At 33.8% G+C, this 15,020-nt stretch overlaps 1 long non-coding RNA gene across 2 annotated transcripts in view, besides 1 other annotated feature; it reads left to right on the top strand.

The window, feature by feature from the left end:
- The window catches only part of LOC101928570 (uncharacterized), a 248,816-nt gene that overhangs the window by 175,661 nt on the left and 58,135 nt on the right, over positions 1–15,020 (top strand). The gene's annotated exons all lie outside the window — the stretch shown is intronic.
- Positions 9,236–9,405: an enhancer, noted in NCBI's record as "experimental_95029 CRE fragment used in MPRA reporter constructs". NCBI's record gives its function as "activates a minimal promoter by MPRAs in K562 erythroleukemia cells, with activity observed for both the introgressed and non-introgressed 6:77842216 variant alleles {active_cell/tissue: K562}" and the evidence as "EXISTENCE:reporter gene assay evidence [ECO:0000049][PMID:34662402]".

Below are 15,020 nucleotides of genomic sequence, written 5' to 3'. Positions count from 1 at the left end.
AGATTGAATTTACTAGTAAATCTTACTGACTTTACCTCCAAAGTATATGCAGATCCTAAATACTTATCATCTCCATTTCTATCTGATCCTAGCTCCCATCTCTGAGTCCAGAATTATTCTAATTATTCTATTGGTCTCCCTTTTTCTGTCCTTTGGCTTACCTTCTCTCAATGCCTACTCTCAACACAGTAGCTACAGTGACACTTTCAAAATACGTTAGATCATGTCACTTCTTTGCTTAAAATCTTCCGGTGGCATAATGTCTCACCCAGAATTCATATTCAAAGTCCTCTCCATGACCCTACATCTGAAATATGCTTTTCCTGTCGCACTCTCTGATGTCTTCTACCAACCATCCCCCCAACGTCTTTGAATTCCTTGTTTTTTCTCAAATGCCAGACACATCCATGCCTCACCATCCCTGCCTTGCGCTTCTTACTGTCTGCAATTTTTGCCTCATGTATTCACTTGGCTCACTTTCTCACTCCCTTCAGGTACCAACTCAAGTGAAACCTTAGTGAGGTCTCTTATTCCTTACATGGAAAAGTTACACTAATCCTGCCCCTTTTATCCTTAACCTGCTTTATTATTTTATTGTATTCTCTGTATTGGACACCATTTGCTACCTGGTAATTCTCATATGACTTAATTTACTACCTGATACATTGCAAGTATTCATTAAGTATTTGTTTTTGAATAAATATAGCTAAATTATATGTTGTCATTACAATATGTTGCTATATGTCATTCTATATAGAGGTGACTAATGATGTAGAAAATTTGCAAAACACATTAAGCTAAAAGATAGATGATAGATAGATAGATGGTAGATAAAATCAAAATGTTATTTTGGTGTGGGCTTTGTTATGGGTGATGTTTTTATGTGTGACTTCCTATTTATTTCTATTTTTATGATATAACACAAAATATCAGTAAAATGCAACAAAAAAGTTTTAAATAAATGAAGAAAACAATTCAAAGAAGTGTTCAGATATGTAACAATAAAATTAGGAATAATGTCCTGGGATAACTTTAGCAGTAGTATTTTACTACTAATCAATCATTTCCTAGTATGGATTACTTGGGGGCTGAAGCCTTTTATAGTTAGGAAAAAAGAGAATTGTGGTCCTGTTCACAAACTTGATCATCTTTTTTCATCATGTTTCTGTGGCTTTGATTTCCATTCTCCTTTTTCACCATCTCATTGCTCTGACCTATTACTAATATCAAAGATTCCTGCTCATGCAAGAATTATTAGTTTCTTTACCTTAGAGGCCATCTGTTCTGTTTCTAAAAGAGCTCAACAACTCTATTTCTATTGTTCTTGCAAGTTCTGTTTTGGTTTCTAATTTTACTTACATGAAACCGTGCTACATCATGCATTCCAGGAAGGGAAATCTTCTGGTATAATTCCTTTGGAAGGTAGATGTACGCTGGCCTGAATTATTGCCTATGACTATATATAAAAAGTGCATTGTGAAATATTCTATTTTATATATTGGACACTTCCCATAAAGTTCTTCTGTACTATTCTTTAAATGCTCATCCTTAGCTGATGATAATTTTTTTCATAACAGATATGTTCACCATATTCTATCTTGATATTGAATTTAATTGAGTCCCCTGGGGCTTTGCTCTTTTACTGTTTGGTAGAAAATCATGCCAGGTTTTGGGTTAACTTGACTTCAAATATCTACTAAAATCATAGAGATAAAAGAACCCTAAAATAATATACTGGAAATCCTTAGTGGTTTTGAATATTAGCACTTGAAATTGAGTTGGGGTTGGCCTGGGAAGGGGTTTCCGTGAAATTTGACAACATTCTATTGGTATAGCAACTTTGTTTCTTAGTTCCCAGAAACTTCAAATTATTTGGCCATCTTTTCTGTGCTGACCTAGTTTTATTTTAGGGCAATTAGATTGTGACCTAAAATATCCATTACTTTGTAAATATATTGACAAATGTAAGACATATTTACCAAGATATTCCATATCGTAAGACTATAATGAACACTTGGGCGTGTGTGTATACCACATATTTGTATATGCTACATCTATATGTATAGCATAGGTATTACATATATGTGTAGTATATATGGCACACAAATATGTACATGCATATACATAAATATATTTATATATTAAATTTTATTAACTATTGAAAATCTTTAAAATCTATGATTATTCTTGTTTACTTGATCTGATAAATTCTTTATTTATTTTTTCTGAGATGGAGTCTCACTCTGTCACCCAGGCTGGATTGCAATGGGGTAATCTTAGCTCGCTGCAACCTCCGCCTCCCGGATTCAAGTGATTCTTGTGCCTCAGCCTCTCAAGTAGCTGGTATTACAGGCCCACGCCACCACGCCTAGCTAATTTTTGTATTTTTAGTAGAGATGGGGTTTCACTATGTTGGCCAGGCTGGTCTTGAACTCCTGACCTCAAGTGATCCTCCTGCCTCGGCCTCCCAAAGTGCTAGGATTACAGACATGAGCCACCGTGCCCAGCCTGATAAATTCTTAAAGATGAGTATTTCGATCACATGAATTTCTCATTACATTTACAGTAGTTCTTTCCTTGATGTGCTTCTCTGCTAGTTATTTTACCTTCTTCAGTAGACAATCACTTTGTCAGTGGTTTTGTCCTTCAGGTCCACTTTACATGATACTATTCATTGTATTTTATAATTTTTAAATTATGATCTCCATTTTGTTCTAATTTTATATTTTATAACTAAGATACTCATATATCTTTGAACAGCCTTATTTTACACCTGCTGTATAAGTGCAGTTAGTGACCAAATACACACATGCCCAGGAGGAAAATAACAGATGCCAAAATTTTCCTCTGACTTTCTGTTGTTTTTCTGACTTGAACACTTTTGTTATTGCCTACTTTTTATGAAGTAGGTCCATATAAATGCTTAGTTTGTTTCTCCATCTTGAATGTTATTTTCCTATTATTACTAGACTAAAACCATGTTTTATCATATATTAAAATATTTGATTTCCATTTTATTATAATAATAAATAAAAATAAAACAGGTATTATTCTATTTTCCATTCAGTAGGGTCTTATTAGATATTTAAAATTCCCCTTCTCTCCCTTTCTCTTTCTCTCTCTGTGTGTGTGTAAATATTATTTTCCCTTTCTCATTTTCTATAAAGATTTTTTCCTATATTCTGGTTTCTAATTTTGTACTCAAGAAGTGTAACACTAGTATATTTTTTTCCTAATTCAAAAACTTATATTTCTGTATGGAAGCTGATAATTTTTTTTTACTTTTAGGACATAGAATTGTTATCAGTATCTGTCTAGGTAAAATCTAAATGTGTGTCTTTTTACGTTTTAGTTATTAACCCTGAATAAAATTTTTAATTTATTTTCATTAGGAGACCCAGCATTCCTATTAATGTAAGATTCTTTTCATAATTTCATTAATTATTGTATCTATCTTTTATTATTTTTCTTCCTGGAAAAACATTACTTGCATGTTAGTGCTTTTGAATCTGCCCTTGAAGGCATTAGTATGTTTTCTTATTATTTACATTAATTTTTTTGTTAAACATTATGGGAATTTTTTTTAAGTTTGTGAAGCCTACCGCTTAGTTTTAGAACATGTGTATCAGATTTTTCTTCCAGTTTATCCATTGAATTATTACATTTAGAAATTATGATCTTATTTCTTTACATTGTTTTGTATCTTATGTTTTTCTCCTTGAGAGTCCTTAGTATCACTCCTAAATGTTTTCTACTGCCTCCATAGGAGCTAACAATTTTAACATCTAGCTTTTTTTGTCCTCCCTTACATCCACAACTCCTTGTAAATAAGCATATTTACTTTTATCTTTGCGGATATTGTTTCCAAAGTAGGGAAATTGTTCACTGACAGGAAGTGATAAACCAGTTGCAGAACATGAACTTACCTTTGCAGTGGATCACTGGCTGACTGACATGGGGAGAGTGGATGGCTTCTCTGCTTCCAGGTTTCTTCATGTACAAGGGAGGATGGTGTGATCCTGCAAGACATAATGAAGCAATTTAAGTTCCATCGTCAACTCAGAATCCACTAGCAGAGTAGGTATATAACAGACAGCTCTTAAAACTGTCAAAGCAATGCTCTGACACCTCCAACAGCCAAGTATTCCGTGGATATTTCCCCAGATGCTACTGTTAACTTAGAAGCCCTGGGCTCATCAGGCATCCCAGACAATTTTCTCTGGAAAGTTGCTAGGCCTGTAATGCACGAAGATTTCTCTCATCCATTCATCCATCATACTTATTTTATTTTGTGAGTACTTTTTTGGTAGGTGTTAGAAGAGAGGGGAGTTTAAAATGTATGTTTCTAAAATATCTTCACCTTTTTCTGATATCCCACTTTATTTTACATATTATAAACCATTTAAAAGTCAGCAAATGGGAATCTAAAAAGGAATGGGTTGTTGTCTTTAAACAAGCAAAATGGAAATAATAATCATGATGATGATGATGGTAAAGAAACCTTATTGTCAAATGATACAAAAAAGGTATATACACAAAAGTGCTAGTAGAGAATAGACCTAGTAATCACATTTATTCACACATTCACTTACTAAGCCAACAGTTATTTATGCTAGGCACTCTGTTTTTTGCTGGGAATACAAAGATGAGTAAGAAACAATTTCTTGTCTTGAGAGGCTCACAGTCTGAAAGTTTTCATAGCATTAGCTGCAGCAATAGCATAGCACTAATAATCAACATTTCTTTTATACCTAGAATATTCTATGTTCTCTACTAAGTGCTCTGCCTGTGTTTTCTCATTTACAAGCGTTCAAAATGTTTTTATGAATAGGATATTGTTATTATCCTCATTTTGCAAGTTAGGAAACAAAGGCATTTGGAGACTAAGCAACTTGTCCGAGATCATGCAACTAGTATAGAATTCAAATGAAAGTAGTCCAACTCCAGGATCACCTTGTATGTAACAATGATGTCTTCTTGAGCCTATATAGTTTAGAAAGCCATTCATTAAATAGTGATAATACTAACAATAAAAGAAGAGACATTTAACAATCATCTAAGCAACACCGAGTAAGCAGGGAAGAGCACTGCTGTGGAAGAGCAATTAGAGAGTTTTTAGTAATCCATGCATTGATCAACATGATGTTGATTTTATTGGGCTAGCTGAAAGGTTTGTATTGGAAGGGAGCACCATGGGAAAAAAATTTGGATTATAAAAATTATCTTGTTGAAGAAGAACATGATAAAACAGGGAAATGTAATGTAGAAAAGCTTACAGTATTAGGTAATTAAGTTCAACTCTTCAAATATATGAGCAATTAATTTTTTTAAACTCCTTCAGATCATGAGGATTAATATATCAATTCTTATGAAAAACATTTTGGAAATTGAAGAAAATACCAAGTCATTTCAGTAAAAAGCAGAAAAAAATTATCTGAATAATATGAATCATTGAGAATTCTTGACAAGGTGAACACACCTTATCTCCATTTTAGTCAGAAAGAAGAAAAGAAAGAAAATATTATTTCAGTTGAGTCATTTGAACATTTAAGCAAATACAAGTATGATGACTTAACAACTCTTAGGTGTGAGTAAGAGTTTAGTGTTCTATTATTACTAACAAGATAGACTTTTGTTAACTTTCTTCTAAGAACTGTTTCTTTTCACTTATTCAGCACATGTGGCAAAACAAAGTCATCAAGCAAAATGGACCCTACAAACCATGGATAATATAAATTGTAGAAAATTCTAAGATGAATTTTTACACATTGCCTTTTCAGTGAGGAAAACATTTATTGACAGAAGTTGTTGTAGGAAAATTGAGCTGCTTCTTTTGGGTGCTGAGGAAAGAGTACAAGAATCTCAGGCCGTATATTTTAAAAATTTCATAGGTCTATTCTGAACTGTTTTAATATATCTTATTTTTGGATAGTGAAAACTAAATCACTTTAACTTCAGTACCCAGAGCTCCTCATTCATGTTCACATCTATGCAGATACCTTAACAATTACTATGTTTATATCCATAATATCCACAAATAAACAGCTTTAATTTTTTCTTTCTAATTTTTGTGACTTTTTCTTGCCTTAGAGCACAGACTAAGATTTGCAATATAATGTCGAATAGAAGTAGTAAGAGAAGTCAAGCTTGTATTATTCCTCATCTTAATATTTCACCATTAAATATGATTAAAGTATTTTGTTAGTAAATGCCCTTTATTGGATGGAAGAAACCATCATTTATTGCAAATTTGCTAAGATTTTTTTTTTATTATGAATGATTGATGAAGTCTAACAAATGTTTTCTCTATATCTACTGTAGACTCACACATTTTTATTATGCTTATGTGATGCATTATGTGAATTAGTTAATGATGAATCAACCATTATTGCATTTAAAATATATTTCTGGATTTACATTGTTGATTTTTGACAATGATTTTGCTTGTCTTATCAAGAGTAGTATCGGTATGTAATTTCCTTTTGATATAATGTCCCTGGCCTCATATAATAACTTGGTAAGTGTTTAATTCTTGTGTACTTTCAAAATTAAAAATATGTAACATATGTATTATTTCTTCCTTCAGAGTATGATATAATTCATCAGAGAAGAGCTCCAGAGGCCTGGAGTTTTCTTCATAAGAAGTTTTTGGTCTAATCAATTTTTAAAATTTATTAGATACATTTCAATTAGTTTAATGATTACATAACTGTTTTATTAAATGCACTTAATAAAAATACTTAATGTGTAGTATTTTAATAGCAATACTAAGTATATTTATATATTGATAATTACATTTAATAATTATGCATTTCATGTTTATTTTGATAAATTGTATTTTTAAGGAATTTGTGCGTTTTGTCAAAATTGCCGATTTTAGTGTCATAAAGTAATTCATATTTCCTCATTTTCTTTGCTCTTTATTGACAAATAATATTGTGTTATTATCCTTTTTATGTTTATAGAATCTCTTATGATATGAAATTTTTTATTCCTGATATTAGTGAATAGTAATTTCTGACTCCTTTTATCATAATTTTTAATAGCTATTTAGTGGTTTTAGTAATCATTACAAAAAAAGAATCCTTTGCATCTGTTTATTTTCTTTAATGAATGCATGTTTTAAATTGCATTAGTTCTGTTCTTATTTTTATCATTTTATTTCTCCTATTTCCTTTAAAGTTATATTCTTTTATTTTCTCAATCCTAATGTCTTTCAGAACTATTTGAGTTCTATCTTTTAATCCGATCTAAAATCTTATTTTTACTGTATCTACATTTAACCTATTACTGTTATTATTGCCTGTAAGTCTGTCATCCTGATATGTTTTTGTCTTTTTGACTTGTTCCTTTATTTGTTCTTTCTTTATTTCTTTTGTATTATTCCAAAATATGTATTTTTAAATTTTTCCATTTTGTCTCCTGCTTGCTTTTTAATTTCATTTTTGTGATGCTTTCAGTATAATTAATTTATTGATTATTCTAGAAATTACAAAATGCAAGCTTAGCTTAAAACAATTTTCTTTATGTTAGTACTTTTACCATCTTCCACAATATAAAATCTTACTATAGTTTAACTACCATTGTTTTATCTCTGCTTTTTGTGATACAAACTGCATACATGGGACATCCTTTAATATATCTATCTCTGCTACATCCTGTTTAGTTAAGTTGTTTTTCATTCTTTTTTGTCTTTCAGTTTCCTTCTGGATAATTTTCTGCCCACTAATTTACTAAGCCTTTCTATATTCCATATATTTATTTTTATAGCTCTAGAATGGTCATGGGATTATTTTTCTAGATTCTGTTTTCAATTGAAATATTCTATTGATTCATCCAATTTACCCACATTTAGTTCTGTTTCCTTTCACATGTTAGATGTAGTTAAGTTCTTGTTGCTGATCAGGATCGCTATAATCTCTGGGTTTACTTCTATTGGCTGCCTTCACTCTTCATTATCAGTCAAATTCTTCTCAATGTATCTAGTAAATTTTGATTAATGAAACATATTGAAGATGACATAATATAGGAGCTCTGGACTATGTTATTTTCCCCCAAAGAGTAGTGGATTTAGTTCTGTCTTGTAGCCAAATTACCTGCTGATTTTACTAATCTTCCTGAGGCATGGTTTTAGGCTTGATTGGGATAGTTCTATTTTAATTTTTCTCTTTCTCCAAGGGTATAGTTCTTCTTCATAGGCTTTACAGATAGGATATGTATTTTTCTGGAATCTTCATTCAACAGCCAAGGTATGCATTAAGGCTCCTCCACTCTGGCTGGGCCTGAATATCAAAGTCAACATTGCTCCAACACTCAGCAACTTTTGAAATATCTTTAGCTTCCTGTCAATTTCTTGTCCTTGTTCTCTCTCTCTCTCTCTCTCTCTCTCACTTGCAATAGTCACAGTCCTTGCCTTTACAGTTTAGAAGGTGGCCAAAGATCGGATGGAAATGTTTCATAGATATCTAGGGCTTCTATTCTGTAGATACCTTCTTTCCAGTAATCTGACTCTTCCTCCATCTTTGCTGCCTTAGCAGTATTGAAGCCAATCTGTTTCTTCCCACTCTGTGGCTCTCCGTTTGCACTGTAGTTCAGAATGTGCCCTCAAGGAGTAAATACGGTGTAAACATGGGCTCACTTAGTGTGCCATCCGTCTCTTGAAAATCATAGCCCAGTATTAGTTGCTGTCTAGTGCCTGCAGAAAGTTCTTTTTAACATTTTATATTTTTTATTTTGATATATATATATATATATTGTAGTCGTGGAGGGTAAGGCATTCATGGCCAGAACCTAAAGGCCCATTGTCATTTAATTACTCAAAATTATTTATCGCAAGACTGAGTTAGTTTCTGAGAATTCGATGTTGTGCAAAATAACAGGCTCTGCTTTCAATACCCATGTTTTCATGGAGAATGCACACAACTAGAGACATATAGCATTTTGTGTCTGGCAAGGAATTTATAGTCTCATAAAGCACTCCAAAATTGATTTTTAAAATCTTTAAAACTCTTCATGTATCTTAGGTTTCTTTCCCCACGAGTCTCCACAGAATACCTTTGACAAGAAGATATAATTGAGATATATGGCCCTAACTTACTGGCATAAATTATCAATCTTTGAAGATGGTCATTAAAATATTGATGAAAACTTTAAATATAGCATGCTTTCTTCTTTAAAAATATAATACATATATCAATGTGCATTATATCTTTAGTTATATATACATTTTGAGATTTATGACCATAGAATGATGCAGTTATTTTCAAACAGAAATGTAGAGTGAAGAATTTTGCCAAAGTATCTATCTCTGCAGAAACAAGCACATATATTACACATTTACATGTAGATAAAATACTAAACAAAAAATTAGTATATTAGTATTTTTCTGTAAACAGCTAATGTTAGTATTTTTTAACATATCAAGGAGTTTAGCAGAAAATTTTCTAAAACCTTCCATTATCTGCAGACCCTTATTTAGTCAGTTGATGTAGGTGAAATTAGACTGTGTAGAATTTTTATTCTCATTACAAATAAGTATTTTTTAAATGACCTTTCAAAAAGTTGTGTAGTATATCCCAGAATGTCATAAGTAAAATAAGAACTTTTTCTTTATCTATAATTTCCAAAAGCAGGGGATTTCTTATTTAAAGTTTAAGTAAATTGCTCACAAATTAATAGAATTACGGTCATCCCTAGATTGTTCATAAGGTGGTTTTAATATCCTAAACTATTTGAAATGAATTTTATAATGCTTCTGATGTTTTTATGTGGAGAAAGTCTTAATCCAGATAAACAATTTCTGGTTCCAAAGAATATGAAAACTTAAAAAAAAACCTCCAATTAATTCAGCCTTAATCTGATTTTACTGAAGATGTGTTGATTTTTGTTATTGTTTTTAAAGCTTTTACCACATATCTTAGAGTATTTAGAAGGTCTTAGTTTTCATAATCTATAAAAAACATATGACCTGCTGTATAAGTCTCAGTCTATCTTGGAAGCATACAAATGACAGTGTTTCATATTTCTTTGTTTATATTAAAGATAAGTCTGGGAAGCAAGATGCTACTCAGAGTTTCTCAACCTCACCACTATTGACATTTTGGGTGAGATAATTATTACCTGTTGTGATAGGCTATCCTTCGCATCACTGGCCATTTAGCAGCATTCCCACCTTCCAGCTACTTCATATTTTCCACCCTAGTGTGACAATCAAATACATTTCCGGACATTGCCAAATGTTCCCTGGCATGGGAGAGGGTTTTGTGTGTGTGCTAGACCAAATGATCTAGCTCGCAATAGAGAAAATGTTGCTAGAGAAGATATGTCCGCAACAGCAGAATGGCAAAGCAGAAGGGCACAGAGTAGTAACAGGTACAATAGAACAAAACAATAACTAACACATGTAGTGCTTTTTAAGCGTCAGACATTGCTATAAAACTTTCTGTTTAAAGTTGCGTTATATTCTCAACAAGCTTATTAGTTAAGTATTATCATCTGCATTTTACAGACTAGGAAACTGATGTACACAGATTTAAAATTACTGCAACATACAACTAGTAAGTGGTTTTAATCTTGAGAAGCATATCTCTAATATGAATTTGCTTATCATTTTTGTTTGTTTTGAGATGAAGTCTCCCTCTTGTCACCCAGGCTGGAGTGCAATGGAGTGATTTTGGCTCACTGCAACCTCCGCCTCCCAGGTTCAAGCAATTCTCCTGCCTCAGCCTCCCGAGTACCTGGAATTACAAGCGTCTGCCACCATGCCCAGCTAATTTTTGTATTTTTAGTAGAGATAGGGTTTTACCATGTTGGTCAGGCTGGTCTCAAACTCCTGACCTCAGGTGGTCTGCCCACCTCACCCTCCTGAAGTGCTAGGTTTACAGGCATGCGCCACTGCGCCTGGACTATTTATCAATTTTTAATATAATTTTTATTTATAATAGTTTTATTTTATTTACTTTTTTTATATAATTTCAACTTTTGTTTAGGATTCAGGGGGTCCATGTGCACATCTGCTACATGAGTATATTGTGTGATGCTTAGGTTTTGGGTATGATTGAACCCATCACCCAGGAAGTGAGCATAGTACCCAACAGTTAGTTTTTCAACACTTGCCCTCCCACCCTCACCTCCCTTTCCCCTTTGGTAATCTCCAGTATCTATTATTACCATCTTTAATTCTGTGAATACCCAATATTTAGCTTCCATTTATAAGTGAGAATTTGTGGCATTTGGTTTTCTGTTCCCGTATTTATTCACTTAGACTAATGGCCTCCAGCTGTATTCATGTTGCTGTAAGGGACATGATTTTATTCTTTGTATGGCTGCATAACATTCCATGTTTTATACGTGACACATTTTCTTCATCCAATCCACCAGTGATGGACAGCTAGGTGGATTCCATGTCTTTGCTACTGTGAAAAGTGTTGTGATAAACATACAAGTGCATAGGCCTTTTTGGTAGAATGATTTTTTTTTCATATATGTCTAGTAACAGGATTGCTGGGGAAAATTGTAATTCTGTTTTAAGTTTTTTGAGAAATCTTCAAACTGGTTTCCACAGTGGCTGAACTGATTTACATTCTCACCAACAGTGTATAAGCCTTCCTTTTTCTCTGCCAGCATCATTTGTTTTTTGACTTTTTAATAATGGCCGTTTTGATTCGTATGAGATGGTATCTCATGAATTTGATTTTCATTTCTCTGATGATTTGTGATGTTGAGAATTTTTTCATTTGTTTCTTGGTCACTTGTATGTCTCCTTTTGTTGGTTCATGTCCTTTGCCTACTTTTTCGTGAGGTTGTTTTTTTCTTGTTGAATTGTTTAAGTTCCTTACAGATTCTGGATGTTAGAACTTTGTTGCATGCATAGTTTAGAAGTATTTTCTCCCTTTCTGTGTGTTGTCTGTTTACCAGGTTGATAGTTTCTTTTGATAAGCAAAATCTCTTTAGATTAATTAGGCTCCCCTTGTCAAGTTTTGTTCTTATTGCAATTGCTTTGGAGGACTAGGTTATAAATTCTTTCCCAAAGCAGATGTCCATAATGATGTTACTTAGGCTTTCTTCCAGGATTCTTGTATTTTGATGTCTTACATTTAAATGTTTTACATTTATTTTTTATTTTTTTGAGATGGAGTTTCACTCTTGTTGCCCAGGCTGGAGTGCAATGGCACAATCTCGGCTCACCACAACCTCTGCTTCCTGGGTTCAAGTGATTCTCCTGCCTCAACCTCCTGAGTAACTGAGATTACAGGCATGTGCCACCACGCCCAGCTAATTTTGTATTTTTAGTAGAGACGGGGTTTCTCCATGTTGGTCAGACTGGTCTTGAACTCCCAACCTCAGGTGATCTGCCTGCCTCAGCCTCCCAAAGTGCTGGGATTACAGGTGTGAGCCACCGCACCCAGCCTACATTTAAATCTTTAATGCAAACTGAGTTAATGTTCATATATACTGAAAAATAGGGGCTCTGTTTCATTCTTCTGCATATGGCTGGACAGTCATGCCAGCACAATTTACTGAATAGAAAGTCCTTTCTCATTGCTTAGTTTTGTCAACTTTGTCAAAGATCAGAAGGCTGCAAGTGTGCAGCTTTATGTGTGAGTTGTCTATTCTGTTCTATTGGTCCATGTGTCTGCTTTTGTACCAGTACCATGCTGTTTTGGCTACTGTAGCCTTGTAGTATGGTTTAAAGTCAGGTAATGTGATGCCTCTGGCTTTGTTCCTTTTGCTTAGGATGACTTTGGCCTCTTTTTTGGTTACATATGAATTGTAGAAGAGACTTTTATAATTCTGTAAAAAATGACATTGATAGTTTGATAGGAATAACATTGAATCTGTAGATTGCATTGGGCAGTATGGCCATTTTAACAATATTGTTTCTTTCAACCATGGCCATGGAATATTTTTCCATTTATTTGTGCCATCTCTGGTTTATTTCAGCAGTGCTTTGTAGTTCTCCTTTTACAGACCTTTCATCTCCTTGGTTAGATGGATTCATAGGTATTTTATTTTTCCTGTGGCCATTGTCAATGGGATTGAGTTCTTGATTTGGCTCTCAGCTTGAATATTATTAGTGTATACCAATGCTACTGATTCTTGTATATTGTCTTTGTATTTTGAAACTCTACTGAAACTATTTATCAGTTCCAGGAGACTTTGGGCAGAATCTTTATGGTATTTGATCTATAGAATCATATTGTCAGCAAAGATAGATAGTTTGACTTCATCTTTTCCTATTTGGATGCCCTTCATTACCCTCTCTTGCCTGATAACCTGGCTGGGACTTCCAGCACTATGTTGAATAAGAGTAGTGAGAGTGGACATACTTGTCTTGTTCCAATTCTCAACAGAAATATTTCCAATTTTTGCCCATTCTGTGTGATGTTGGCTGTGGGTTTTTCAGAGATTGCTCTATTTTTCTGAGGTATGTTCCTTCAGTGACTAATTTGTTGACAGCTTTATCATAAAGGGATGTTGGATTTTATTGAAGGCTTTCTCTGCATCTGTTGAAATGATCATAAGGTTTTTGTTTTGAATTCTGCTTATGTGGTGAATGTCATCCATTCATATGCGTACACATATGTTGAAACAACCTTGCATCCCAGGGATCAAGCTTACTTGATCATGATGAATTAACTTTTTGACGTGCAGCTGAGTTTGGTTTGATGGCATTTTGTTGAGGATTTTTGTGTCTATTGTCTTCAGGGATATTGGCCTATAGTTTTATTATTATTGTTATTCATTTTGTGTTTGCCAGGTTTCGGTACCAGGATAATGCTGGCTTCATAGAGTGAGTTATGGAGAGTCCTTCCTCTTCATTTTTTTTGGAATAGTTTCAGTAGAAATGGTACCAGCTCTTACTTGTACATCTCATAGAATTCTGCTATGAATCCATATGGTCTAGGGTTTTTTTGGTTGCTAGTTTTTTTTTTTTAATTAATGATTCAATTAGGAGCTTGTTATTTGTCTGTTCAGGGTTTGAATTTCTTCCGATTCAATCTTGGGAGGTTGTGTGTTTCCAGGAATTTATGCAATTCCTCTAGATTTTCTGATTTATATGCATAGAAGTGTTCATAATAGTGTCTGAGGGTTTTTGTATTTCTGTGGGATCAGTTGTAATGCCTCCTTTGTCATTTCTGATTGTGCTTATTTGGATCTTTTTTTTTCTTTATTAATCTAGCTAGTGGTCTATTAATCTTTTTCATCCTTTCAATAAACTAAGTTTGGTTTCATTGATTTTTAATGGATTTTTTGCATCTTAATTTGGTTCAGTTTTGCTCTGATTTTAGTTATTTCTTTTTGTGCTAGTTTTAAGGTTAGGTTGTGCTTGTTTTTCTAGTCCCTCTAGATTTGATGGTAGATTGTTAATCTGAGATGTCCAGGTAGGAATTTAGCACTATAAACTAACCTCTTACCACTGCTTTGCTATGTCCTAGAGATTTTGGTATGTTGCGTCTCTGTTTCATTTATTTCAAAGAATTTTTGGATTTCTGCCTTAATTTTGTTGTCTATCCAAATGTCAATCAGGAAGAATTTGTTTAATTTCCATGTAACTGTGCAGTTCAGGGAGATCTTCTTGGTATTGATTTCTATTTTTATTCCACTGTGATCCAAGAGTGTGGTTTGTATGATTTTGGTTTTTTTTTTTTTTTTTTTTTTTTTTGAGACGGAGTCTCGCTCTGTCGCCCAGGCTGGAGTGCAGTGGCGGGATCTCGGCTCACTGCAAGCTCCGCCTCCCGGGTTCATGCCATTCCCCTGCCTTAGCCTCCCAAGTAGCTGGGACTACAGGCGCCCGCCACTACGCCCGGCTAATTTTTTGTATTTTTAGTAGAGACGGGGTTTCACCGTTTTAGCCGGGATGGTCTCGATCTCCTGACCTCGTGATCCGCCCGCCTCGGCCTCCCAAAGTGCTGGGATTACAGGCGTGAGCCACCGCACCTGGCCGGTTTTTTTTTTTTTTGAAATTATTGAGATTTGATTTATGGCTGAGCATGTGGTTAATCTTGGACTATGTTCTG

This window comes from Homo sapiens, chromosome 6 (assembly GCF_000001405.40).
Source record: "Homo sapiens chromosome 6, GRCh38.p14 Primary Assembly".
NCBI lineage: Eukaryota > Metazoa > Chordata > Mammalia > Primates > Hominidae > Homo > Homo sapiens.
The sequence above is the reverse complement of the archived record's forward strand: the minus strand, read 5'-3'. Positions and strand labels throughout refer to the sequence as shown.